The sequence below is a fragment of the Homo sapiens genome, chromosome 17 (genome assembly GCF_000001405.40).
Source record: "Homo sapiens chromosome 17, GRCh38.p14 Primary Assembly".
In the NCBI taxonomy this organism is placed as follows: Eukaryota; Metazoa; Chordata; class Mammalia; order Primates; family Hominidae; genus Homo; species Homo sapiens.
The window spans coordinates 80,269,242-80,296,121 of NC_000017.11; the positions used below are offsets into that span (position 1 = coordinate 80,269,242).

The 26,880-nt window shown below is 53.5% G+C and overlaps 1 protein-coding gene across 12 annotated transcripts in view, besides 4 other annotated features; it reads left to right on the forward strand.

The window, feature by feature from the left end:
• RNF213 (ring finger protein 213) overlaps nucleotides 1-26,880 on the forward strand; it is a 137,943-nt gene that overhangs the window by 8,390 nt on the left and 102,673 nt on the right. For 7 of the 12 annotated variants that reach the window (XR_007065355.1, NM_020914.5, NM_001410195.1 and 4 more), the window contains exons 3-11: nucleotides 4,000-4,163; nucleotides 9,523-9,669; nucleotides 18,574-19,122; nucleotides 19,392-19,514; nucleotides 20,418-20,596; nucleotides 21,329-21,487; nucleotides 22,387-22,586; nucleotides 25,479-25,762; nucleotides 26,316-26,572. Coding sequence is in view for 11 of the 12 variants with exons in the window: in NM_020914.5 (NP_065965.5) it covers nucleotides 4,000-4,163; nucleotides 9,523-9,669; nucleotides 18,574-19,122; nucleotides 19,392-19,514; nucleotides 20,418-20,596; nucleotides 21,329-21,487; nucleotides 22,387-22,586; nucleotides 25,479-25,762; nucleotides 26,316-26,572 (2,062 nt within the window). In the remaining variant the exon portion in view is untranslated. Of the gene's footprint in view, nucleotides 1-3,999; nucleotides 4,164-9,522; nucleotides 9,670-18,573; nucleotides 19,123-19,391; nucleotides 19,515-19,555; nucleotides 19,696-20,417; nucleotides 20,597-21,328; nucleotides 21,488-22,386; nucleotides 22,587-25,478; nucleotides 25,763-26,315; nucleotides 26,573-26,880 lie in introns of those variants that run through there. The other 5 variants (NM_001256071.3, XM_047436482.1, NM_020954.4 and 2 more) reach the window with 2 other exon arrangements.
• Nucleotides 1,858-1,907: a silencer, noted in NCBI's record as "silent region_9107". NCBI's record gives its function as "represses an Ori minimal core promoter by ATAC-STARR-seq in GM12878 lymphoblastoid cells {active_cell/tissue: GM12878}" and the evidence as "EXISTENCE:reporter gene assay evidence [ECO:0000049][PMID:35858748]".
• Nucleotides 4,797-5,395: an enhancer, noted in NCBI's record as "H3K4me1 hESC enhancer chr17:78247837-78248435 (GRCh37/hg19 assembly coordinates)". NCBI's record gives its function as "activates a minimal SCP1, AML or CMV promoter by ChIP-STARR-seq in naive H9 embryonic stem cells {active_cell/tissue: H9 hESC(naive)}" and the evidence as "EXISTENCE:reporter gene assay evidence [ECO:0000049][PMID:30033119]".
• Nucleotides 8,781-9,399: an enhancer, noted in NCBI's record as "H3K4me1 hESC enhancer chr17:78251821-78252439 (GRCh37/hg19 assembly coordinates)". NCBI's record gives its function as "activates a minimal SCP1, AML or CMV promoter by ChIP-STARR-seq in naive H9 embryonic stem cells {active_cell/tissue: H9 hESC(naive)}" and the evidence as "EXISTENCE:reporter gene assay evidence [ECO:0000049][PMID:30033119]".
• Nucleotides 15,493-16,053: an enhancer, noted in NCBI's record as "H3K4me1 hESC enhancer chr17:78258533-78259093 (GRCh37/hg19 assembly coordinates)". NCBI's record gives its function as "activates a minimal SCP1, AML or CMV promoter by ChIP-STARR-seq in primed H9 embryonic stem cells {active_cell/tissue: H9 hESC(primed)}" and the evidence as "EXISTENCE:reporter gene assay evidence [ECO:0000049][PMID:30033119]".

Consider the following 26,880-nt stretch of genomic DNA (forward strand, 5'->3'; position numbering starts at 1 on the left):
CACCCTCACAGACACAACCAGAACAATACTTTACCAACTACCTAGGCATCCTTCAACCCAATCAAATTGACACCTGATATTAACCATCACACCGTCTATCCATCCCTCTACCCTATCTGTCCACCTACCCTATCTATCTATCCACCTATCCATCTGTCCTATCATCTATCCATCCATCCATCCATTCATCTATTCTATCTATCCATCCATCTATTCATCCATCCATTCATCTATTCTATCTATCCATCCATCCATTCATCTATTCTATCTATCCATCCATCCTCTTTCTATTCATCCATTCATCTATCCATCTATTCTATCTGTCCATCCATCTATACTATCTATCCGTCCATCCTATCTGTTTATCTATCATCTGTCTATCCATTCATCTAGCTTATCTATCTATTCATCCATCAATCTATCCATCCATCCATTCATCTGTTCTATCTATGTATCTATCTTATGTATCTATCCATTCATCTATCCCATCTTATCTATCCATCCCATCTTATCTATCCATCCGTCCATCCATCCATGTATCTACCTATCTACCTGTCTACCTACCTACCTACATATTCTATAGTTCTGCTCTCTGGATAACCCTGTTCTATACTGTGAGTATTTAATGAGTTAACATGTACATTGTTTAGGAAGTGCTAGTTAAGTATGTCTCTTATTTCTGAATCCAGCTACTTACTTTTATGACAATAAAAATGTAAATGCTGGTTGGCAAATGACCCACATGTTACAGGAGGACATAAAATAGCACGAAGTTTCCTCACCCTGGGCCAGGACTGTCACATTCCCCAGAGCAACACTGTAAACTGGTGTGTCCTCTTCTAGACATCTCCTCTGCGTGAATGTGTGCGCACACACACACACGTTAATGTGAGTGGCAGCTCGTGCCCTGCGCATGCCTTGCTACTTTCATGTACAGTGGCTGAGGCCTCTAGTGGAGGACGGACCTCAGCAGCCTCCCTGGCTCTGCCACCCAGCAGGGCCTGACTCAGCAACAGGCCTATCCTGGGCACTTCCCTTGTCCTGCTGTTTTGCCGTGACATAGGCTGCTAGGCTGCATGCTTGCACGGAGACCTTGCCCTCTGAGCCAGGCTGGCCGTCTGGAGGACAGATTCCCAGCCACTAGCCTGCTGGCTTCAGGCTGGCACATTTACAATGCAAATCTCTTCAAATCCCCTGCACAAAGCTTCTCTGGCCACTCACTGGCCGCGTCTCTGTGCTCCCTGCCTTCTAGATTTCTATTCAGATTCTCTCCAGCGTTCAGAATGATGGATCTTGTCAATCTGTGCCGGTCGTTGGGTGGAAATGGCACTGCAGGGCCTCCGTTCTGATTTCCTTCATCAGTAGGCATGGCAGGCATCTCTTTGGAAGTTAAGAGACCACATGTATGTGTATTTCCTTGAGCGGCCTGTCTGTCTTTAGGGAAGCTCGTTTTGCTTTGGTTGGTCCTTATGATTGTTGGGACTGTTTATACTGGGAACAGCCTGAAACCCAGCTCTCCTAGGCTTGCTCAGCAAGAGAAACGTGCTGGGTCACCGTTGCCCAAGTCCAGGCTTGAGGGGTTCAAGTGTACTAGGGCTTTGCTCCATTTCTCTGATCCTGACAGCTCTGCCCTTCTCCACTGCCAGCTTTGTCTGCAGGTGGAGGAGAACAGACAGTGGTTTCCCAGCACCACCTCATGGTCTTTCCAGGATGCACTGAGTGGCAGAAACCCCAGTAAGGGTCCAGAAGTATGGATGCTTCCATACTTCTTGCTGGTTGGCCCTTCCCTTAGTCAATCACTAGTGCCAGGGTAAATATCGGCCCTGATTGGATTAGGCTAGTCAGGGCCCGCCCCTGGTGGGAGGGTAGGTTGGTGGGAGGGTAGGTTGGTGGGAGGGGCAGGCTCAGAATCCCTGGTTGTAGGTGAAACAGCAGCTCTCGAAGGATGGGGCCTTGGGTCGCCTGTTGCAGATCTTTCTCCAGCTCTTACTTTCTGGCTGTGATGTTTCATGTGTGTCTTATGTATGTAGACGTTTAGAGGATTTGTTATCAATTTTGAGTCCTGCTAAGGAACTTCACGAATTCTTGAGCTCTTGGCTACGCCAACACTGAGTACTCAAAGGGAAAAAGGTCTGCGTGGTCCCTGCCCTCCAGATCTCAGAGGAGGAGAGGGCAGTGACGAAACCAGGTGCTGGAAACGGGCGTGGGGATGAAGTGTCCAGACAGGGGCGCAGCTGGGACTGGCTTGGGGCCTTGGAGAAGGGTCTGTGGGGATCAGGCAGAGGGAAGGTTCTGTACAGAAAAGCAGGCTTGGCCTGGCACCATCTGGAGTGTGTGTCAGGGAGAGGTGGGGTCGTCCAGACCCAGGATTGAAAACAGGGACTCCTTGAAGGGTGTTTTCGTCCATTTTCTGTTGCCATAAGAGTACCCGAGCCTGGGTAATTGAAAAAGAAAAGGCCGGGTGTGGTGGCTCAAGCCTGTAATCCCAGCACTTTGGGAGGCCGAGGTGGGCGGATCACGAGGTCAGGAGTTCAAGACCAGCCTGACCAACATGGTGAAACCCCGTCTCTACTAAAAATACAAAAAAAATTAGCTGGGTGTGGTGGCGCATGCCTGTAATCCCAGCTACTCCAGAGGCTGAGGCAGGAGAATCACTTGAACCCAGGAGGTGGAGGTTGCAGTGAGCCGAGATTGCACCACTGCACTCCAGCCTGGGTGACAGAGCGAGACTCCGTCTCAAAAAAGAAGAAAAAAGAAAAGAGGCCGGGTGGGGTGGCTCACACCTGTAATCCCAGCACTTTGAGAGGGCAAGACGGGTGGATCATGAGGTCAGGAGTTCAAGACCATCCTGGCCAAGATGCTGAAACCCCTGTCTCTACTAAAAACACAAAAATTAGCCGGGTGTGGTGGCATGCACCTGTAATCCCAGCTACTTGGGAGGCCGAGGCAGGAGAATTGCTTGAACCTGGGAGGCAGAGGTTGCAGTGAGCCAAGATTGTGCCTCTGCACTCCAGCCTGGGCGACAGAGCAAGACTCTGTCTCAAAAAAAATAATAAAATAAAATAAAAAAAGAAAAAGAAAAAAGAGGTTTATTTAGCTCACAGTTCTGCAGACTGAGAAGTTCAGGGCCTGGCCCTGATGTCTGGTGAGGGCTTTTGTGCCACATGGCAGAGTAGGCCGACGGGGATGCTGACAGCTGTGAAAGACTAAGCCTGATGGGACATCTTGACTTCATAACAACCCACCTGGCGGGTGCTAATCCATTCCCGAGGGGAGTAAACAAGCCTCTCAAGAGTAAACCCATGACCGCAAACGGCACCAAGCCATTCGTGAGGGATTTGCCCTCACGACCCACAGACCTCCCCGCAGCCCTGCCTCCCAGCACTGGCATACTGGGGATCAACATGAGTTTTGGTGGGGATGGACAAAGTGCGTCCACACCACAATGAAGGCTAGAGTGAGTGTGGGGCTGGCAGAGTGGGTGCTCCATGCTGTCTGCATGGCAGCTCTGCATGGGTGAGAATCTGGAGGCAGAGCAGCTGGGCGGGCAGATGCCTTAGTGCCAGGACAAGGGAAGCAGTTTGAGACCCCTGGGCCGCCACTGGGAGAATGCCCACCCTGGGGAAGACAGGAGGAATGTCTACAGTAGGGGAGGAAAGCGTAACAGGCTCTGTTTTAGAGGTGCCCGAGGTGCGCTGACATCCTAGTACAGAGTCAGGTGAATCCACTCGTGGACATTGGGAGGAAGAGGCTGGATGCTAGGACGGCACAGTCTTTCTGTCTGATTCACCCCTTGTTGTGCTGAAACTGGGGTCCCTGGTTCCCTCCTACCCACCTGGAGCAGAACCCCTACCCTGCTCATGTTAGCAGGCCCAATGCAGGACCTCGGAGGGAGAACAGGGTGAATCTCTCCATGCACTCGTGGGGAGGATTTCTGTTTTTCCTTCCTAACACTCGCTTCTCTCTGAGATCTGACCCTTCCTTCATCTGCCGTTACAGATTCTGAGAACAATAACTCCACAATGGCGTCGGCCTCGGAGGGTGAAATGGAGTGTGGGCAGGAGCTGAAGGAGGAAGGGGGCCCGTGCTTGTTCCCGGGCTCAGACAGTTGGCAAGAAAACCCCGAGGAGCCCTGTTCCAAAGCCTCCTGGACCGTCCAAGAAGTGAGTGCACTGCCTCGGCTCCCCTCCGCCCCCGCTCACTCTGCCCAGGAAAATCTCACTGCACAGCTGCCCAGCTAGCCCCCGAAAATGCCACCATGGCCCAGCCCATTGAACCTGCCCACAGGGCAGCAGCAGAGCTGCCCCTTCTGCACCTGATTCATCTCTGGCTGGAGTCTGTGGGTTCCAGACCCCCTGGGGCCTCCACCGTCTTTTTTTTTTTTTTTTTTTTTTTGAGACAGAGTTTCGCTCTTGTTGCCCAGGCTGGAGTGCAGTGGTGCGATCTCGGCTCGCTGCAGCCTCCACCTCCTGGTTTCAAGCAATTCTCCTGCCTCAGCCTCCCAAGTAGCTGGGACTACAGGCATGCACCACCACGACCAGCTAATTTTTTTGTATTTAGTAGAGACGGGGTTTCACCATGTTGGTCAGGTTGGTCTCAAACTCCTGACCTCAGGAGATCCACCCACCTCGGCCTCCCAAAGTGCTGGGATTACAGGTGTGAGCCACCGCGCCCGGCCTCCACCTTCCTTTTCTTTCTACCAGACCCAATACTCGTGTGTCTCCCAGAAGCTGTGGCTGGGGTGGGGCCTGAGCTTCTGCCGTGTGTATCTGTGTCCCAAGCTTCTGTGGGTCTCTTTGCATTGAGGGTGCAAGCTCAGAGGTGCCTTGCTGCTTCGGGGCAGGGACCTGAGCGTCCGCTGGGTGCGTGTCTTGCGCTTCTGTAGGCCTCTGCATTGAGGGTGCGTGCCCAGAGGGGCTTTGAAGCTTTGGGTGTGGGGTGGGTGCTCTGGAAATGTGCTGGCTGGCAGGTTACCCTTCTTGGAAGGGTATGGCTGAGCCACCTTTTGGCTCCCTCTGGCCTTGAACAGCCTCTTAGGCGTTAGACACCAAGAGAATGCGTCCTTGTTAAGATTCCCAGTTGGAGCACTAGGCGAGGCTTTCGAGGGGAGCGTCCTGGACATGTTCAAGGAGAATGGTTGGAAGAGAAGGGCTCCTGGGCTCTAGCGCGGCCTGGGAAGACCCAGAGGGCAGTGTCAGCTCCCGGGTTTCTTGCTGGGCACGGAGAAGGGGAAGCTGTCTTTCTGTGTCTGCACTGGGGCTGGCTTTCTGTCTGTCGTTCCTTGTAGGTGGCACTCCATGGTTGGGCTATGGTGGGAAGTGATGCAGCCGCAGTGCTGTGGTCTGTGGGGGGTGAGTGGGGTGAGTGTGGGGGGTGAGTGGGGTGTCTGTGGGGGGTGTGGGGTGAGTGTGTGGGGTGAGTGGGGTGAGTGTGGGGGGTGAGTGGGGTGTCTGGGGGGGGTGAGTGGGGTGAGTGTGGGGGGTGAGTGGGGTGTCTGTGGGGGGTGAGTGGGGTGAGTGTGGGGTGTGAGTGGGGTGTCTGTGGGGGATGAGTGGGGTGAGTGGGGGGTGAGGGGGGTGTCTGTGGGGGGTGAGTGGGGGGTGAGTGGGGTGTGTGTTGGGGGGTGTGTGAGTGGTGTGAATGGGATGTGTGTGTGTTGGGGGTGTGTGAGTGGGGTGTGAGTGGGGTGTGTGTGTTGGGTGTGTGAGTGGGGGGTGTGTGTGTTGGGGTGTGTGTGTTGGATGTGTGTGTATGTGTTGGGGTATGTGAGTTGGTGTGTGAGTGGGGTGTGTGTGTGTTGGGGGTGTGTGTTGGTGTGTGAGTTGGGGGTGTGTGAGTGGGGTGTGTTGGGTGTGTGTGTGTTGGGTGTGTGCGTGTTGGGTGTGTGTGAGTGGTGTGTGTGTGTTGGGAGTGTGTGTGGGGTGAGTGGGATGTGTGTGTATGTTGGGGTGTGTGGGAGTGGGGTGTGTGTGTGCTTGTGTCATTCCCTTGGAGAATAATCCCTTCCAGAGCAGCCAAGGCCACCCCCAAGCCTGGAGCACATGGGATGCGGAAGGTTTGGGTAACTCCCTTTTTATGCCTAATTTGGAACTCTGTCAGAGTGGGAAAGTGGCAGTACGGATGGTGTTCCTTGAAAACATTGAAGGCAAATGAATAAACCCTTTGCCATCTGGGGCAAACAATAAACCCGCCCAAAGACAGAGGAAAAGCTAAGAATTGAGTTACTTGGGGGAATAAAATTTTGAAAAGTTTCCATGAATAATGAGGAATCTAGAAAGCCACACAAATGCTCGAGCAGGACGCACTCGAAAAAGACCTGAGAAGACCTCAGTGCAGGCTGGAAGGAAGGCTGAGTGTGGGAGGAGTGTCCCAACTCAGGGCCAGTCTACAGAGACTGAGAGAGTATTATTTTTTCTTTATTTTATTTTATTTTTTTTTGAGATGGAGTCTCACTCCTTTGCCCAGGCTGGAGTGCAGTGGCGCCATCTCAGCTCAACTGCAACCTTTGCCTCCCAGGTTCAAGTGATTGTCCTACTTCAGCCTCCGGAGTAGCTGGGACTACAGGCACCCGCCACCACGCCTGGCTAATTTTTTGTATTTTTGGTAGAGACGGGGTTTCACCATGTTGGCCAGGATGGTCTCGATCTCCTGACCTTGTGATCCACCCGCCTCGGCCTCCCAGAATGTTGGGATTACAGGCGTGAGCCACCATGCCTGGCCAGTTTTTTTTTTTCTTTTTTCTTTTCCATGTTTTGGCTGTAGGTGTTTAAGGAAATCTCTATCAAACTACTAATTGGCAACAAGCCAAAGGAACATAGACTTTATTTATTTATTTATTTATTTATTTTTTGTTTTATTTATTTATTTATTTATTTTTGAGATGGAGTTTCGCTCCTGTTGCCAAGCTAGGGTGCAATGGCGTGACCTTGGCTCACAGCAACCTCCACCTCCCGGGTTCAAGCGATTCTCCTGCCTCAGCCTCCCAGCTAGCTGGGATTACAGGCATGCACCACCATGTCTGGCTAATTTTGTATTTTTAGTAGAGACGGGGTTTCTCCATGTTGGTCAGGCTGGTCTTGAACTCCTGACTTCAGGTGCTCTGCCCACCTCAGCCTCCCAAAGTGCTGGGATTACGGGCGTGAGCCACCACGCCTGCCCTATTTTTTATTTATTTTTTAATGTTTTAAATTTTTTTACTAGTGGAAATCTGCTTGAATTTGTAAAATGTAGAGTTGACACAGAAGATGTGAAAAGAATGAAGACATTTTCTAGGGAATCTTGAACAAGAGAAAACCGACATGAACAAGAGAACAATAAAAGAGGCCAGGCGCGGTGGCTCACTGGGTGACTGTGAGATCCTTCCTCAAAGAGAGAGAGAGAGAAGGAAGGAAGGAAAGACAATAGGAAATGTTGATGAGGATGTGGAGAAATTGGAAGTGTTGTACAGTGTTGGTGGAAATGTTAAACGCTGCAGCCGTTAAGGAAGCAGCAAGGCAGTTGATCCAAAAGTTACGCATAAAATTATCCTAGGCCGGGCGCGGTGGCTCACACCTGTCATCCCAGCACTTTGGGAGGCTGAGGTGGGTGGATCACGAGGTCAGGAGATTGTGAACATCCTGGCCAACATGGTGAAACCCCGTCTCTACTAAAAATACAAAAAAAAAAATTAGCTGGGCGTGGTGGCGTATGCCTGTAATCCCAGCTACTTGGGCGGCTGAGGCAGGAGAATCACTTGAACCCGGGAGGGGGAGGTTTCAGTGAGCCGAGATCGCACCACTGCACTCCAGCCTGGCAACAGAGCGAGACTCACTCTCAAAACAAAGCAAACAAACCAAAAAAAAAACAAAAAAAGAATACGATATGGATCTGTGCTGTAGCCTGGATGGACCCCAAAAACATGCTAAATGAAAGAAGCCAGATACAAGAGGCCATGTATGATTCCTTTGATATGAAATATCCACGATAGACTCACCCATGGAGACAGAACACAGATTAGTGGTTGGCTGGGAGGAGTGGGGAGGAGGGAGTCATTGCTGTGGGATTTCTTTCTGGGATGAAGAAAATGGGAACTAGGGCCAGGCCCGGTGGCTTCTCACCTGTAATCCCAGCACATTGGGAGGCTGAGGCGGGTGGATCACTTGAGGTCAGGAGTTCAAGACCAACCTGACCAACATGGGGAAACCCCGTCTCTACTAAAAATACAAAAAGTAGCCGGGTGTGGTGGTGCTTGCCTGTAATCCCAGCTACTCAGGAGGTTGAGGCAGGAGAATTGCTTGAACCTAGGAGGCAGAGGTTGCAGTGAGCCGAGATTGAGACACCGCACTCCAGCCTGGGCGACAGTGAGACTCTGTCTCAAAAAAAAAAAAAAAAAAAAAAGCCTAAATATCCACATATCCACACATGAGAGAAGTTCAGAGTGAATACACAGGTGAATGCCGATGGGTTGTCTCTGGTGATGAGTTTACAGGGGCTTTTGCGCATTTTCCCAATCCCACAGGGAGCCTATTGAATTCTGAAGCTGAGAGCAGTGTATGCGTGAACGGTGCTCTAAGCGCAGACGCCGCATTCTAACCATGGTGAGGAGGGTGCTAGGAGCCAAGGGAGGCGGCCCCAGAAGCTGAGACAGCGAGCTGCGTGGCCAGCCTCACCCTGCAGCAGAGTCAGGTGGTCAGTCCTCACCTGCAGTCATGGGGTGGGTGGAGAGGGAAAGGGCGCACAGAGAGGGGCCCGCGCCTGTCCCTTGGCACAGCCATCCTCCACTTGGCCTCTCCTTTGGTGGCCGCTGGTTGCTGACTAACAGGGTGTCCTTTGTGCATTCTTCCTCTGGAGAGGCTACTGGGCTTGGCTGCTGGGTTGTACTTCCTGTGGTGAGGGAAGAGGAGACTGCCGGAGCCAGGGGTCATTTGGGTTGGAGGCATCGGCAGGCCAGGAGGCTGCTGGTGGAGCTTCCTTTCCTCAGCTTCCTGCTGGGCGTCTTGCTGTGAGGTCTCCCGGCGATGCCCGGTGTGGTGTGGAAGGGAGGTGTCGGATGAGCATGCCCGCTACAGGGCCAGACTGCCCGCCTCCGCCTCTAGGGGCTTGGGAGGCCTGGCCTGGCTGGCCCTGGGGTGCCCGGGCCTGCCTATACCTTCTGGGTCGGTCTCTGCAGTGCATCTGTGCTCTGAGCACAAGCCAAGGCATTCGTGTGGAGGCCCGGGGCGCCGGGAGCCTGGTAGGGTGCTGGGAGCTTGGCAGGGTGCCGTGAGCCTGGCAGGGTGCCGCCTCTGGTGTGGGCAGTTCTCCTCTTACGTGGACTTGTCCTGCACGTCTGCAGGAGCTGCTTCTTCGTCTTCCCACACCCTCCTGCCCATGGGCCCTGGAGGCAGACGGTGCTGGGAAGCTGGTCAGTGCCCACATGTGGGTGTCCCTGCCTGGGCCTTCCCAAGAGGAGGTGGCCCCTGAGGTGGGGTCTTTGCGAGTCTACTGGAGCTGTGCGTGGGGTGCACAGCCCTGCCCTGTCTGAAGGGGGTCGTGTTTCAACAGGGAGCTACATCAGAGGTTTTGGTAGATGCTGCTGTAGACCTCATATCCGATGAATGGGAAGCTGCTAATGCCATACCCAGCAAGAGAAGGAAGCAGGATGCAGCCCCGCTTGAGGCCGCCAGCGTGCCTTCTGCAGACTGTGAGCAGGTAGTCCGAGTCAATAGTTTGGGCAGAATGCTCCCTGCCCTGGTGCATGCTGGCACAGCCTGGCACGGCCACCTCGCACTTCCGGCCCTTGAGTCCCTGCCAGTCGAGGAAGGCTGCCCAGGATGGGCGTTTTCGGGTCACCCTTGGGCTGTGAAAGAGCAACGCTGATTCAGGCTTGGCTCTTGTGACTCTGAGGATGTTTTGCTAGTGGTGAATTTCAGCTTTATTGTGCTTGCCCTTCTGGCCCACATCCTTCCACTTGCCTTTTTACTCCGTGCAGCTGTCCCCTTGGACACCTGGAGAAACTTAACCTGGCTGCACTCACCTGGCTAAAGCTCCACCAGCAACACAGGCTTCACCACAGAGAGCAGCAGGGGAGCCCAAGGGGGCTTAGAGGGCCAGGCCCAGGCAGGTGGGGGCCCGACCCAGCCTCTGCCTGAACACAAGGTCTTGGATGGCGCTCGCCACGTGGGGGTGTAGTGGAAGCCCTGCTCAGTTTAGTCTCTGGTTTTTGGAAGTTGAAATCCTGACTTTTTCTCTTTTTCTTTTCTTTCTTTCTTTCTTTTTTTTTTGAGACAGAGTCTCGCTCTGTCGCCCAAGCTGGAGTGCAGTGGCACGATCTCAGTTCACTGCAACCTCCGCGTGCAGGGTTCAAGCGATTCTCCTGCCTCACCCTCCTGAGTAGCTGGGATTACAGGCACCTGCCACCACGCCCGGCTACTTTTTTTGTGTATTTTTAGTAGAGACGGGGTTTCACCATGTTGGCCAGGCTGGTCTCGAACTCCTGGCCTCAAATGATCCACCCATCTTGGCCTTCCAAAATGCTGGGATTACAGACGTGAGCCACTGTGCCTGCCCCAAATCCTGACTTTTTCTATAGCATTTAGGAGTATTACAGGACTCACTAATAATATCAAAAATGAAATTAGGTAACACATGTAATGAAAGGACTTTTGCTTTTGGGGAAAAGCAAGGGAGCTTCATACCTTGAAGAGTGATGCTTGTGAAGTTTATTACTTTTTTGCAGAGGGCGACGGCCTCCCTGCCTTCCCCGCACCGCGCTCCCCCCAGCCCCTGCCCATCGAGATGGTCATGTGTTCATTGAACGGAGACTTACCGAGCATCCACCACGCCTAGGTCTTAAGTGTAGGCAGAAGCCTTCAAGGCAGGCATGCTCTTTCCTCTGTGGGCTGGGGCTTGGCCGTGAGCCCACTCCTGCAGCTCCTGGGAAATGCAGGCAGCGTCCACACGGGGCTGGACTTAGCCAGACCTAAGGCACAGTGTGGGTGGAGAGCTCATTCACAATAGCAACAAAAATGTGAGAAGGAACTTGTAAAATAAAGGATGGATTCATAGGCCATGCGAGGAGAAGAAGGCTCGGGCTCAGCAGACAGTGAAGTCCGTGGAGAGGTGGGCCCTTCCCCAGAGAGAACATGGAAGGTTTAGCACTGCAGAGATGTCTGCTGTCACCCAGAATGACACGGGAACTTAACCAACTAATTAATGTATAACAGTAGTATAGCTCTGAATGGGTTTGGTGGGTTTTGTTTTTGTTTGTTTTGAGGCAGGGTCTCGCCCTGGGTCCCAGGCTGGAGCGCAGTGGCAAAATCATAGCTCACTGCAGCCTTGACTTCCTGGGCTCAAGCAATCCTCGTGCCTCAGCCTCCCGAGTAGCTGGGACTACAGGCGTGCACCACCACACCCAATTAATTTTTAAAATTTTTGGTAGAGATGGGGTCTTGCTGTGTTACCCACGCTGGTCTCAAACTCCTGGGCTCAAGCAATTCTCCCGCCCCAGCCTCCCAAAGTGCAGGGATTACAGGCATAAACCACCACCCTAGCCTCGTTTTGTATTTTTGGAAGTTGACAGATTTTAAACTATAAATTGGTGAGGATACTTAACAGATGTGAGGAGGAGAAATGGATGGGAGATTTATAGTAAAGCTGTCAACGTACACGGGTGGAAACATTCCCACGGAGTAACAGAGGCGCGACCTGGGGATGCGCACGGAGCATGAGATGTGAGCTGGAGTTAGGGCACTGCATATGCGGACCGGAGCGTGTTGGTCAGGGTGTATACACGGGTGTGGAAAGTGGGGTGTCTAGACCATGGGCTCAGCATTTGGGTAAAACACACACACTCCACTCACCCCAGTCACACACACCCCCCGCCACACATACCCCACTCACACATACCCCACTCACACCACTCACACACACCCCCACACCCCACTCACACCACTCACACACACCCCCACACATACCCTCCACACACACATACCCCACTCACACCACTCACACACACCCCCACACACACCCCACTCACACACACCTCAACACACATACCCCACTCACACCACTCACACTCCCCCCCACACACATACCCTCCACACACACATACCCCACTCACACCACTCACACACGCCCCCACACACACACCCCACTCACACACACCTCAACACACACACACACCCCACTCACACCACTTACACACCCCCAAGACAAACACCCCATTCACACCACTCACACACCCTGCAACATACACCCCACTCACAACACTCACACACCCCCCAACATACATACACCCCACTCACACACACACCCCAACACACACATGCCCCACTCATACCACTCACACACCCCCCAAGACAAACGCCCCACTCACACCACTCACACACTGCCAACACACACAGCCAACTCACACCACTCACACACACCCCCAACACACACTCCCCACTCACCCCACTCACACACACCCCAACATACGCAAGTCCCACTCACACCCATCTCATACTCACACTGAAACACACAGTGGTCCCTTGTTGCCCACAGGGGGTCGGTTCCAGGACCGCGGAGGACGCCAAAATCCAAGGATGCCCAGTCCCAGATATGAAACGGCGTGGCATTGGTACATAACCCACAGCATCCGCCTGTACACTTAATTTTTTATTTTTTTTATTTTTTGAGACGGATTCTCTCTCTTTTGCCCAGGCTGGAGTGCAATGGCGTGATCTCGGCTCCCTGCAACCTCCGCCTCCTGGGTTCAAGCGAGTCCCCTGCCTCAGCCTCCCGAGCAGCTGGGACTATAGGCGCCTGCCACCACACCTGGCTAATTTTTGTATTTTTAGTAGAGATGGGGTTTTGCCATGTTGGCTAGGCTGGTTTCAAGCTCCTGACCTCAAGGAATCCGCCTGCCTTGACCTCCCAAAGTATTGGGATAACAGGCCTGAGCCACTGAGGCCGGCCCCCGACACCATGCACTTTAATTCATCTCTAGATTCCTTACCACAGGCATCTGTATGACATAGATGCTGTATGAACAGTTGCTACACGGTGCGGTGTTGCTCTTTGTGTTCTTTGTTATTGTTGTCTCGTTATTTTCTGTTTTCTTCCCCAGTATTTTCTGTCTGTGGTTGGCTGAATCTGTGGCTGCAGAGGGCCGACTGTATACCAGCTTGATTCAATATTTTATTTTTATTTTTTATTTATTATTGTTATTATTTTTTGAGATGGAGTCTCACTCTGTCGCCCAGGCCGGAGTGCAGTGGCACAATCTCGGCTCACTGCAAGCTCCGCCTCCCAGGTTCACGCCATTCTCCTGCCTCAGCCTCCCGAGTAGCTGGGACTACAGGCGCCCACCACCACGCCCAGCCAATTTTTTTGTATTTTTGTAGAGATGGGGTTTCACCGTGTTAGCCAGGATGGTCTGGATCTCCTGACCTTGTGATCCACCCGCCTCGGTCTCCCAAAGTGCTGGGATTACAGGCGTGAGCCACTGCACCCGGCCTATTATTACTATTTTTCAAGGCAGAGTGTTGCTCTGTCTCCCAGGCTGGAGTGCAGTGGTGCAATCTTGGCTCACTGCAACCTCTGCCTCCTAGGTTCAAGTGATTTCTCCTGCCTCAGCCTCTAGAGTAGCTGGGATTACAGGTGTGTGCCACCACGCCTGGCTAATTTTTGTATTTTTAGTAGAGATGGGGTTTCCCCATGTTGGCCAGGCTGGTCTCGAACTCCTGACCTCAGGTGATCCGCCCGCCTCGTTCTCTCAAAGTGCTGGGATTACAGGTGTGAGCCACCACGCCTGGCCTGATTCAATATTTTAATGTAAAACAGCATCCTAAAAGCTCTAGAAAATGTAGGGGGATATTTATAAAATTATGTAAATACTTCTAAGCCTCACCCCCCGTAAAATTATAAATACCGCTATGGTTATGTAGTTCGAGATTCTGGGTCAAAGAAGACTATGAAACTGTTCAATGGAAAAGCAGACAGCAGGAGGCACTGGCAGCACAGGGCGCCTACCAGGGCACTCGGCCAGTCCTCACCGAGAAGTAAGTGGTCCCTAACTCAGGGCCAGGTGGCAGTTCACACGGGAAGAGCTGAGGGGGTGAGCCTGGGGCTGCTGCTCCGAGGTGTCAGCCCTGCAGGTGTGATGATGTCAGATGGTTGGTTTTGTTTCTATTGAAAAGAGGTTCTGGGATGGCGGCTTGAGGGCAGTGGTCTTCCAGGAACTGGATCACGGTCCCTCCAAGGGTCTCTCCTGCAGTTGCGTCTGCGCTTACTGCAGTCTTTCCACAGCCCCGTGTTGTGGGCAGAGGGAGTGAGGCCAGGCCTGGCTCCTGCCTCCAGCCTCCCCGGGCTCTGCCCAACCTCCGTGTGCTGCTGCTGCTGTTTCTTCCTGGCTGGCCACTCCCCTCCTGCAAGGCAGGCCCTGGGGAGGGGTGCTGGCAGCTGTTCCTAAGGTCTGAGCCCTTTGCTACATCAAGGAAAGAAGCGGTAGGGGGCCTGCATCTTCCATGCTGGTGGGAGGTGGGGGGTGGTCAGGGGCCTGCCTCAGTGGGCTCCTCCTGTTCCGGGCTGTGACTCGGCGGTCCAGAGCCTCAGGATTCTCCGTCTATTTCTGCCAGAGCCTGATTATGTCATCGAAGCTGCTAGAGCATCCATGACCTTGGCTTATTTTCAACTTTCATAATTAGGGAAAAACTTAATTTGAGGTTTGATTATTTTAACCATTAGAAATCTTTGGGTAATGGCCAGGCACAGTGGCTCACACCTGTAATCACAGCACTTTGGGAGGCCGAGGTGGGTGGATCACCTGAGGTCAGGAGTTCAAGACTAGCTGGCCAACATGGTGAAACCCCATCTGTACTAAAAATATGAAAATTACGGCCGGGCACAGTAGCTCACGCCTGGAATCCCAGCACTTTGGGAGGCCGAGGCGGGTGGATCACCTGAGGTCAGTTCAAGACCAGCCTGGCCAACATGGTGAAACCCCATCTGTACAAAAATACAAAAAAAAAAAAATTAGCCGGGCATGATGGCAGGTGCCTGTAATCCCAGCTACTTGGGAGGCTGAGGCAGGATAATCACCTGAGCTGGGGAGGCGGAGGTTGCAATGGGCTCAGATCATGCCATTGCACTCCAGCCTGGGCAACAAGAGTGAAACTTCGTCTCAAAAAAAACAAAAACAAAAACAAAACAAAAATAGCTGGGCGTGGTGGCATGTGCCTGTAATCCCAGCTACTCAGGAGGCTGAGGCAGGAGAATGGCATGAACCCGGGAAACAGAGGTTGCAGTGAGCTGAGATTGTGCCACTGCACTCCAGCCTGGGTGACAGAGTGAGACTCCATCTCAAAAAAAGAAAAAAAAAAAAGCCTTTGAATTGCAAATAATGGAAAGCCCAGCTCCACCTTTCTAATCCCATTGAGGAAGTTTATTATGGACACACCTGATGAGCCCCGAGCCTGTAGGTGAGGCTTGGTGCAGGCGTCTCCGGCCCTGTCTACTCTGCCTTCCGGACGGCTCCCCCACTGAGCCTCTCATCAGCTGTTTCCCGTTACTCCCTCGTGCCACACAGTGGCTTCCCCTGTGATCCACCTGCTACTCTGTCCTTCAGGGGACAAGACAGCGCCTCCTCTGGTGATTGATTCCTCTGGAGAGAGGAAGCGCTTCCTCAAATCTCATTGGCTCTGATTGGCTCACAGGCCAATCCCCCAGTGGGTCCCTATGGCCAGGATGATAGACATCAGTGGTTGACACCAGCCCACGCACAAGAGCTGCCCTTGGGGCTAGAGTAAGGCTGATGTTACTCAAACCATGCAGCCGATAACAGGGAGAGCCAAGGGACCATTCCCCAGGATGGGCCATCCAGCGCTGTCACCAGGTGGCCACAAACACCTGCTGTGTGTGGACAGTGACCATGACCACAGCATCACTGATGGGGGCCTTGCGTGTACCAGGCAGTGTCCTACAACTCTCCGTGTGCTTTGTCCCATTTGGTCACCCTCAGTGATGCTCTGATGTGGACACATCTGCTGTCTCCACTTTAAAGATGGGGAAACTGAGGCCCACGGTGGCTCAGTGACCCACCTGGGGTTGCCCAGCCATTGTAGCATGGGGTGAGCTGGATGGGAACTCAGGCAGGCCCTCTAAACCCAGCCCAGACGCCACTGCATGGCAGCCCCGGAGGTACCAGGCAGCTGGCCGGGCAGGGACGGCGTCATCGCCTCTCCGAGGGGAGGCTGTCTTCAGGGCTGGGACCCCACCTGCCAGGTCTCCTCAGCACACTGAGGACGATGGGTGCCTGCAGTGAAGGGTTGTGCAGCACCTGCCTGTTTCTTGACGGCCTCTTGCTTCCCCCTCTCAGCAGGTCCCCCGGCAGCTGACCAGCCTGTCATTCAGAGGCTGATACCTGCTGATGACGCCACTCTACAGTGCTGGGCCCCAGCCCCAGACTCTTCTTCTGCAGCTGCTTCTGCAGTTGCTTTTTTTTTTTTGTGAGATGGAGTCTTGCTCTATTGCTCAGGCTGGAGTGCAGTTGCGTAATATCGGCTGACCGCAGCCTCTGCCTCCCGGGTTCAAGCAATTCTCCTGCTTCAGCCTCCCAAGTAGCTGGGATTGCAGGTGCCTGCCACCACGCCCAGCTAATTTTTTGTGTTTTTAGTAGAGATGGGGAGGATCTCACCATGTTGGCCAGGCTGGTGGCGAACTCCTGACCTCCAGTGATCCGCCTGCCTCGGCCTCCCAAAGTGCTAGGATTACAGGCCTGAGCCACCGCACCTGACCTATTGTTTTATTTTTGAGATGGAGTCTCACTCTGTCGCCCAGGCTGGAGTGCAGTGGCCAGATCTCAGTGAGGCCCTGTTTTAGAGTCAGCCTGCGCTGGGAGTGAGTCTCCTCTGTCCACACCCAAACGCACCAAGTGTGCCATTTCAGCAGTGGTGCTTGCTCCCTGGAATGGGACCAGGTGCTCTCAGCGGTGTGGTGGGTTGGTGGCCTGGGGTTGGTGTCGGACGCAGGCCGGTGTTGGACGCAGGCCGAGCGGGAGGCTGGAGCCAAGCTGTGGCCTGGGGAGATGTTATGGGTCGGAGGGTCGGGGGGTGGGGGCGCCTCCTGTGCTTTGTGTACACTGAGCATGGGTTTCCTCTGAATTTAAAAAGGAGGAGAAAATCGGAATTTCTGGCCCTGGTTCTGGCAGGAAGTGTGGCCATGTGTGATAGAGAAGGGGTTGCAGTGTCGGCCTGGCCTCCTGGAAGCCCTGGGATGCAGCCCTGTCCAGCTGCGGCCTCGTCATGCCCTGGGTGGGTGGGAACGCAGCCTCCTCCTTGGGCCACACAGGGGCCGACCGTCAGCCGAGGGGCTCCTGAAGTGGCAGTGATGGGATCCTGTGGCGCTTCCTCATCCCCTTGTTACCAGTTGCTGAGGAGAGGGTGGATTAGCCCCTGGGCTGCACCTCAGTGTGTGCAGGTCTTCCCAGGTATGTGGGTGCAGGAGGTGGGGGGCGTGGAGTGGGCACAGGTTCACACCTGCTGCCTGGCAGTTTGGGGCCCTCATCACACACCACCAGGTTTCAGGGGATCTACAAGTCACTTTCCTGTACTGACCTGATCCACACGCACCCCTGAGTACTGCCCCCTGGGAGATGCCTGTGGGGTCCCAGGGTCCTGGCAGCCTCCTCCCACCAGCCGCAGTCCTGGTTCCAAAATGGGGACCGTACACCTGAACCTGGATGTGCCTTTGAGCCTGGCTGTGCCTGCTGAGGGTGCGGTGGGAGCTGCTACTCATTTTTTAGTCTCATCCTTCTCATTTCAAATTTTATGTACGAAATATTTTTATAGAGGTGCATAAAACGTGGAAAGCCTGTGTGTGCTTTCTAATGTTCAAAACCAGGCCAGGCACGGTGGCTCACGCGTGTAATCCCACACTTTGGGAGGCCAAGATGGGAGGATTGCCTGAGCCTAGGTGTTGGAGACCAGCCTGAGCAACATGGGAGACTCTGCCTCTACAGAGCATTTTTTAAAACCAGCTGGGAATGGTGGTTCGCGCCTGTAATCCCAGGACCTTGGGAGGCCGAGATGGGCAGATTGCCTGAGCCTGAGATTTCAAAACCAGCTTGGGCAACATGGTGAAACCCCGTTTCTACAAAAAACAAACCAACAAAAAATTAGCTGGGCGTAGTGATGCTCACCTATAGTCTCAGCTACTCAAGAGGTTGATGGGGGAGGATCACTTGAGCCCAGGAGGTCAAGGCTACAGTGAGCTGGGTTTGCACCCTGCACTCCATCCTGGGCGACAGAGGGAGACCTTGTCTCAAATAAATAAATAAATACAAATCCATCTCAGTGGATGTCCAATAAGCAGTGAGCCCGTGTGAGGGTCTCAGCCCGGCCGTGACCGTGCCGAGTGTGGCGAGCGCTTCAAGGCCACTTGCCCCGACCCTGCCCACCCCCCACTTTTGTTTCTTAATTTCATTCTTTCCAGGAAATTGCAGATTTAACAGATGTTAGGTACTTTGGTCGAGCCAAGCTTGATGTAGTTGAGGAACGGAAGAGAAAGTTGGAGGGAAACACGGGCTAGAGTAGAGTAAATCTAAGAAATAAAGTGAGTGTCTCTCTTTCTGTTTAGAGCAAAAAGAAGAAAAGGAAGAAGAAAAAGAAGGGGAACAAGTCCGCTTCCTCAGAGCTGGCTTCCTTGCCCCTTTCTCCTGCCAGCCCCTGTCACCTGACTTTGCTTTCAAACCCGTGGCCTCAGGACACAGCCCTGCCCCACAGCCAAGCCCAGCAGAGTGGCCCCACTGGCCAGCCGAGCCAGCCCCCAGGCACAGCCACCACGCCACTGGAGGGTGACGGCCTCTCCGCGCCCACCGAGGTTGGCGACAGCCCCCTGCAGGCCCAGGCTTTGGGAGAGGCAGGAGTGGCCACAGGAAGTGAGGCTCAGAGCAGCCCGCAATTCCAGGACCACACGGAAGGGGAGGACCAGGACGCTTCCATCCCCTCTGGGGGCAGAGGCCTGTCCCAGGAGGGGACCGGTCCCCCCACCTCTGCTGGTGAAGGCCATTCTAGGACTGAAGATGCTGCCCAGGAGCTCCTGTTGCCTGAGTCAAAAGGAGGCAGCTCTGAGCCCGGGACAGAACTGCAGACCACCGAGCAACAGGCAGGGGCCTCAGCCTCTATGGTGAGTCATCCGGGAGAGATGGCCTGGGAGTGGCACTGAGCCCTCGGCACCTGGGCTCTGCTGCAAGGTGCTGGCGTTGCTTCCCTGCCGGGGGGAGGGGCGTCCTCTGGGCCCTGCTCCCTGGGTGGGAGTCGGAGGGCTGCCCCTCCACTGGGGATGCCAGCCCACCCTGTCCCTCGGCTTGTGGCAGATGCTGCCCCTTAAACCATTGAGTCGGAGTCACCCTGGCCCATTTTGTCACCTTGGCTCTGGTGTTTGGGGTCTTTCAGGCAGTTGATGCTGTAGCTGAGCCAGCCAATGCAGTTAAAGGGGCCGGGAAGGAAATGAAAGAGAAGACCCAGAGAATGAAACAGCCACCAGCAACCACTCCTCCTTTCAAAACACACTGCCAGGTGCGTCTCCTTCCTGCCTGCCGGCTCCAGGAGGCCCTCTCCTGCCCACGGCTGCGCCTCTTTCATTTAATTATTCAGCAAATATTTAAGTGCTGGGGATATAGCCATGATTCAGACAAAGCTCTGGCCTTCGGGGTGCTCACATTCCAGCGGAGAGAGAGTCAGGAAACCGACTTCAGCGGTGAGAAGAGCGTGGAGGGAGGGAGAGAGGGCACCCAGGTGGGCCCCGAGGTACCATGGCACCCACAGCCCGAGTGGCCGGGCGAGGCCTCTCTTAGGAGGTGGTGAGGGATGGTCCCCGGAGGTGTCTGGGAAGGTCATGTGCAGAGGCCCTGGGGCAGTGTGGGGTGGGCCTGTTCCCAGAGCGGCAGGGACGCCAGTGCCCCCAGGAGGAGTTGGGGGAGGAGAGGCCACCAATGAGGCTGGAGAGAGGCGCCTCTGGAGGCTGTGATTAGTGGCCCCAGCGGCACTGGAAGGTCCCGAGCGGGGAAGGGTCGTGAACATTCTGGCCGCTGTAAGAAGCATCCCCTGTAGGGGTCAATGTGGAGGCTGGGCCAGGCGCGGTAGCTCACACCTATAATCCCAGCACTTTGGGAAGCCCAGGCGGGTGCATCACCTGAGTTCAGGAGTTCAAGACCAGCCTGGCCAACATGGTGAAACCCCGTCTCTACTAAAAATACAAAAATTAGCCAGCCGTGGTGGCATGTGCCTGTAATCCCAGCTACTCGGGAGGCTGTCGCAGGAGAATTGCTTGAGCCTGGGAGGCGGAGGTTGCAGTGAGCTGAGATCGCAGTACTGCACTCCAGCCTTGGTAATAAGAGCGAGACTCTGTCTCAGAAAAAAAAAAAAAAAAGAAAATGTGGAGGCCGGCCTTCAAGGTCAGGGTTTGGTTCCTTGTTCCAGGAAGCTGAGACCAAGACCAAGGACGAGATGGCTGCTGCTGAAGAAAAAGTCGGTAAGAATGAACAAGGGGAGCCTGAAGACCTCAAGAAGCCAGAGGGGAAGAACAGAAGTGCAGCTGCTGTGAAAAACGAGAAGGAGCAAAAAAACCAGGAAGCAGATGTCCAGGAAGTGAAGGCAAGGTAGGGATGCCCCCGCAGGGGAGCAAAGGAGACCCTGCCTGAGAGCCCGGCACACCCTCTCCCTGCACAACTCTCAGGGGATATCCAGGCTGCCCTTCTAGTCAGCTGTTTTGGCAAGTTTAACTTTGGGGGAAAAGGGGACCACTTAGGAGGTGGAGGGGGGTGGGCACCTGTGCCAGTTTCTTGTTTCCTAATAGCCCCTGGGGTCCTGGAGCCAGCGTGGGCCTTTGGGAACTCAGGAGAGGGGCTGTTCTGGCCCAGACACCTGCTGGTGCCTCCCGCCACTGTCCCCAGCACTTCAGAGGTGGGCAGGGAGTGGCCACCTCTTCTTCCTCCATTTTGGAGGCAGTGAAGAGAGACCTCCATGGGGGGTGGTGTGTCACACGTGGACGTGCTTGCATGTTTGCTAGGGTGTGATAATGTGCATTACGAACACAAGGACCATGTGCCTGTGTGTGTGCATGTGGGTGTGTGCGTGTGCGTTCACGTGTGTGTGCGCACGTGTGTGCGTGTGCATGTATGTGTGCGTGTGTGAGTGCGTGCACGTGTGTGCGTGTACGTGTGCTTGTGTGTGTGCGTGTGTGCGAGTGTGCGCGTGTGTGCATGTGTGTGTGCGAGTGCATGTGTGTGTGCACGTGTGTGTGCGCACGTGTGTGTGTGCGCGTGTGTGCATGCACATGGCAGGTGGACAGATCTCACGGGAATCAGATTTCTGTTTTGGTTTTCCACCAGCACGCTGAGCCCGGGTGGAGGAGTCACCGTGTTCTTCCACGCCATCATCTCTCTTCATTTCCCATTCAATCCTGACCTCCATAAAGTCTTCATCAGAGGAGGAGAAGAATTTGGGGAGTCAAAATGGGACAGCAATATCTGTGAGCTGCACTACACCAGGTGAGCGTGTCTGTAGGCTTGGGAGGAATCCCTCAGGGAAGGCATAGGATGCCCAGCCTGTGACACGTAGTTTAAAAAAATTTTGTTTTTTTTTTTTCTGAGACGGAGTCTTGCTGTGTCACCCAGGCTGGAGTGTGGTGGCACCATCTCAGCTCACTGCAGCCTCCGCCTCCTGGGTTCAAGCGATTCTCATGCCTCAGCTCCCAAGTAGCTGGGACTACAGGTGTGTACCACCACGCCTGGCTAATTTTTGTATTTTTAGTAGAGACGGAGTTTCTACTAAATGCTGGCTAGGCTAGTCTCAAACTCCTGACCTCAGGTGATCCGCCCGCCTAGGCCTCCCAAAGTGCTGGGATTACAGGCATGAGCCACTGCGCCCAGCCTTTAAATAATTTTTATCCAGTGAGTTGATGACATTCTTCGGGTTCTGGAAGATGAATATTTCAGACAGCTCTTCCTGGCCATGCATTTTGGTGTCATATTCCATCATGGACCTTTTTCTTTTTAAAAGTATTCTTTCTTTCTTTCTTATAATTTTTTTTTTTTTTTTTAGAGAGGGGATCTTGCTCTGTTGCCTAGGCTGGAGTGCAATCATGACTCACTGCAGCCTCAATCTCCTGGGCCATCATGCCCAGCTTTGTTTATCTGAGACAGAGTCTTGCTCTGTCACCCAGGCTGGAGTGCAGTGGTGGGATCACAGGTCAATGCAGCCTTGACCTCCTGGACTCAAGAAGTCCTCCCGCCTCAGCCTCCCATGGTGTTGGGATTTCAGGCATGGGCCACTGAACCCAGCCTTGCCACATCAACTTATAGCTTTGCACTCCATGCTACGTTTGAGAATAACTAAAATTTCCGGGGTAGGAATTTTGGATAGCCAACCGTATCCTGTTCATTCACAGAGACTTGGGTCATGACCGCGTTCTTGTTGAAGGCATTGTCTGCATTTCCAAGAAGCACCTAGATAAATACATTCCTTACAAGTACGTCATTTATAATGGGGAATCTTTTGAGTATGAGTTCATTTACAAGCACCAGCAGAAGAAGGGCGAGTACGTCAACCGCTGTCTGTTCATAAAATCTTCACTTCTGGGCTCAGGAGGTAAGTCGTGGCAGCAGGCTGTCTGCTCACCCCTCCGGAGTGCAGGTGCCAATCCCGCGGTACTGGACGCGTCTCTCTGGAGAGCACAGACTTTGCCTGGGCAGTGAGGTCCTCTTTGCTCTGCATTGACCCCGCCCCAGCCTCCAGGTTCAGTGACACTGACTCTGGGTTGTGTCTCTGGTTGGTTAAAGATGTGTTGGCTTCTCCTTTGAGCTCAGTGTGACTTACCTACTCACTTGCAGGAGGAAACATGCAAAGGACTTTTTGTTTGTTTGTTTTCTGAGACAGAGTCTGTCGCTCAGGCTGGAGTACAGTGGTGCGATCTCGGCTCACTGCAACCTCCGCCTCCCAGGGTCAAGCAGTTCTCCTGTCTCAGCCTCCCGAGTAGCTGGGATTACAGGAGCCTGTCACCACCCCCAGCTAACTTTTGTATTTTTAGAGAGACAGGGTTTCACCATGTTGGACCTTGACCTCAGGTGATCTGCCCTCCTCGACCTCCCGAAGTGTTGGGATTACAGGTGTAAGCCACTATGCCCAGCCAGAAAGGATTTTTAATTAAGGGAAAGGAGAGAAAACGAAGCCAGAAGAAGGGCTGCGGCTGGGAACAGAGGGGCAGCAAAGGCCTGGGAGCTGGGTCAGGGACAAGTGCAGTGACCAGGAGGCCACTGGGACTTGTCCCTTCTCTAGAGATTTTCAGATGGTTGACTGGAGATGACATCCAGAGCCCCGTCTGCAGGCTCCTGCTGGCTGTCATCCTCAGCACATCAGCCCCTCTGCCCATCTGTCAATAGACGCGGGCGCTTCCCTTCTCGCAGAGCCCTCTGCGCCCCTTCATGCCTCTCTCGGGGGTCCCCCACCTGGGTTCTCTGTCTGCAAACTTGACAGACAGAGATCAAGACTTGACTGTGTTGATCACCTGGACTCCCAGTGCCGCCTCCTCACCTGGGGGGTCCTGGGCTTCCCCTCGCTCCCCCTCCCTGCACAGTGACCCTGAAACTCAAGGAAGTGAGCTGGGGTCAACTGGTTGTTGCTTTCCCTTGGCAACCAGGGCCTCCCTGCCCCCTGGTGTCCGGTGTCTTGGAAACAGTTGTTTTACTGTTTATGTTGTTCATGTGTTGTTTTAGGCAGATACAGAAGAATGTAAATTTAGTCCCTGTCACTCCACCTTGGACAAAGACAGAAGTCCTAAGAACTTTATAGAGTATATATTTTTTCGTTTTTGTAAACATATATATATATTTTTTTTCTGAGACAGGATCTCGCTCTGTCACCCAAGCTGGAGTGCAGTGGCACGATCTCGGCTCACTACAGCCTCAACCACCAGGGCTCAGCTGATCCTCCCCCTCAGCCCCCCCAAGTAGCTGGGCCTACAGGCGTGTGTCACCATGTCTGGCAAATTTTTCATATATTTTTTTTGGAGAGACTGGTCTTGCTGTGTTGCCCAGTCTGGTCTCGAACTCCTGGGCTCAAGCAATCCGCCCATCTTGGCCTCCCAAAGTGCTGGGATTAAGACGTGAGCCACTGTGCCCAGCCAAACATGATTTTTACTAGCTAGAGAGTGTACTCTGAGAACATAAGCTTTGAAAGAATAGGCATTAGTCCGGTAATTCCATATATAAATACATTTAAATATGGAATTCTATATATATAAATATGGAATTCCTGCTCTGATAAATGCCATGGCATTGATGGCTCGGTTAAAAGGGCACGTGGTGGCTGGGCGTGGTGGCTCACGCCTGTAATCCCAGCATTTTGGGAGGCCGAGGCGGGCGGATCACGAGGTCAGGAGATCAAGACCATCCTGGCTAACACGGTGAAACCCCGTCTCTACTAAAAATACAAAAAAATTGGCCGGGCGTCTTGGCAGCGGGCGCCTGTAGTCCCAGCTACTCGGGAGGCTGAGGCAGGAGAATGGCGTGAACCCGGGAGGCGGAGCTTGCAGTGAGCCAAGATCGTGCCACTGCACTCCAGCCTGGGCGACAGAGGGAGACTCAGTCTAAAAAAAAAAAAACATGTGATAGGGGATTTGACCTGGAGGTCGGCAGAAGCTTCCACAAGGAGGTGATGACCGAGTTGAGAACTAAACAGTTGCAGGCCCTGCTGGGCCCAGGGTGCAGAGCTGGGGTGGGCGGGCCTGCCAGTCTAGACAACTGTGGGTCGAAAGCATGGCAGGGGGCTGAGGAGGCCTGTCCGGGCGCTTCCCATTTCTGCCTGATTTTTACTTCTGTTTGTAGGTCTTCACGTGGCCTCTGACCCTGTCATTGACATCTTGGGTTTTCTAATTATTTTACAGTCAACCTCACTGGGTTTTCTGCAATGAGGTCTGCACTCATATCGTTTGCAATGGAGCCTAAGAACAGTCACGAATTCAGCCCTTGCCCTGTGTCAGCCACCATGCCAAGGGCCATCTGTGCCAGCTGGGCAGCCTGCACCTTCCTCCAGGGGCTGTGTCCCGTTCCTAGTACAGAGGAAACCAACTCAGTGATTGACCAGGACAGTGCTCACTTGCTAGTGGGGGGATGCGGTTTCTGTATGACACATTCCACCTCCTTGTGATGATGTTTAAGGAAGTTGTTGATCAAGTTTGCTGAGCTACATAGTTAGAGATCCGTTGCAAGTCTCAGGCCCGCTGCATCCCATGACCCTGGGCTTTCCACTCATTACTGTGGGACGTCTAGGATGTCTGTTTGCACGGGGCTGGCCTCAGATGAGAAGTCAGTTGGAGGAGTCTGGCTGTCGTCAGTGTGTGGGTTTTTGCTTTTCCCTTCCTCCCTTCCTCTGCCCCATTTACTCCATATCTGTACCAGTCGTGATCAGCCTTCTAGGCTAGTGTCTAGGTCTCCAGGGTTTTGATGGTCTTAGGTAGGCTCTTGTTCCTTCTGTCCCTCTTAGACTGGCATCAGTACTATGACATAGTTTATATGAAGCCTCATGGGAGACTCCAGAAAGTCATGAACCACATCACAGACGGGCCGAGGAAGGACCTGGTGAAGGGGAAGCAGATTGCCGCTGCGCTCATGCTGGACAGCACCTTCAGCATCCTGCAGACCTGGGACACCATCAACCTGAACAGCTTCTTCACCCAGTTCGAGCAGTTTTGCTTTGTCCTGCAACAGCCTATGATTTATGAAGGACAGGCACAGCTGTGGACCGATTTGCAGTACAGGGAGAAAGAGGTATCAGGCTTGCCACCAGCTGCTCTACCTGCTGGGCAGGAGCCACACCTGACCTGCTAGTGGCCGGATGACCCCTTGACTCTGTGGGCCAGGTTGCAAATGGGAATGTGTAGAACTTTCCAGCCTTTTCTCCTACCACTGTCTCTTGGGATTTCTCTGCCCTCCCCCATTTTCCTCCTTTTACTGGTTGTAATCTCAGCCCCACCCCAGCACCAGTCCTGAGTCCTCCCCTGGCCTTGGAGGGAGAGTGGAAGGAACGGGGCACCCTCTGTCACTGCACCTTTACCCACACTGCGGTGCAGCCTGGGTGGGTTTCAGGCCGGCCTGGAGCTGTTTCTGAGCTGAAGCTGAGCCCTGATGAGCCTCAGGGGCCCTGCCTGAGCCCTCATGCCAGGGTCTTGGCTGCACTGCAGCTCCTCCTGTGGCTCTCACAGGTGTGGTGGTGGGGCACGGATGGGGTCTGCTGCCCTAGCTGTGGTGCTGGGGCAGCTCTGGACACTGCCGGTGAATTCAAGTCCATGGTTCATGCATCTTCCTCTTCTCCCACCATCAGGTGAAGAGATACCTGTGGCAACATCTGAAAAAACACGTGGTACCATTGCCGGACGGAAAAAGCACGGACTTTTTGCCTGTGGACTGCCCAGTGAGGAGTAAACTGAAAACAGGCCTGATTGTCCTTTTTGTAGTGGAAAAAATTGAGCTTTTATTAGAAGGCAGCCTGGACTGGTTGTGTCACCTCCTAACCTCAGATGCCAGCTCACCAGATGAGTTTCACCGTGACCTAAGCCACATCCTTGGGATACCTCAGAGGTATTATTATTTTTTGTCAAAATGTTTTTTATAGCTATTATAATGATTTTCTCTGATTGCAAAAATAAGTGCTTGACTAGAGTGACTGAAAGCACACAGGCAAGAAATAAAACCACCCGTGATTTTACCACTCACTGTGGTCATGTCAGTAGTTTTTCCTAGCATCTGTCTTATTTTTATTATATTCTGTCCTCTGTTGAATTCCCTGCCTTTTGTTTTCCCCCCAGACGGCGTCTCACTCTGTGGCCCAGGCTGGAGTACAGTGGCGCAATCTTGGCTCACTGCAGCCTCCACCTCCCAGGTTTAGG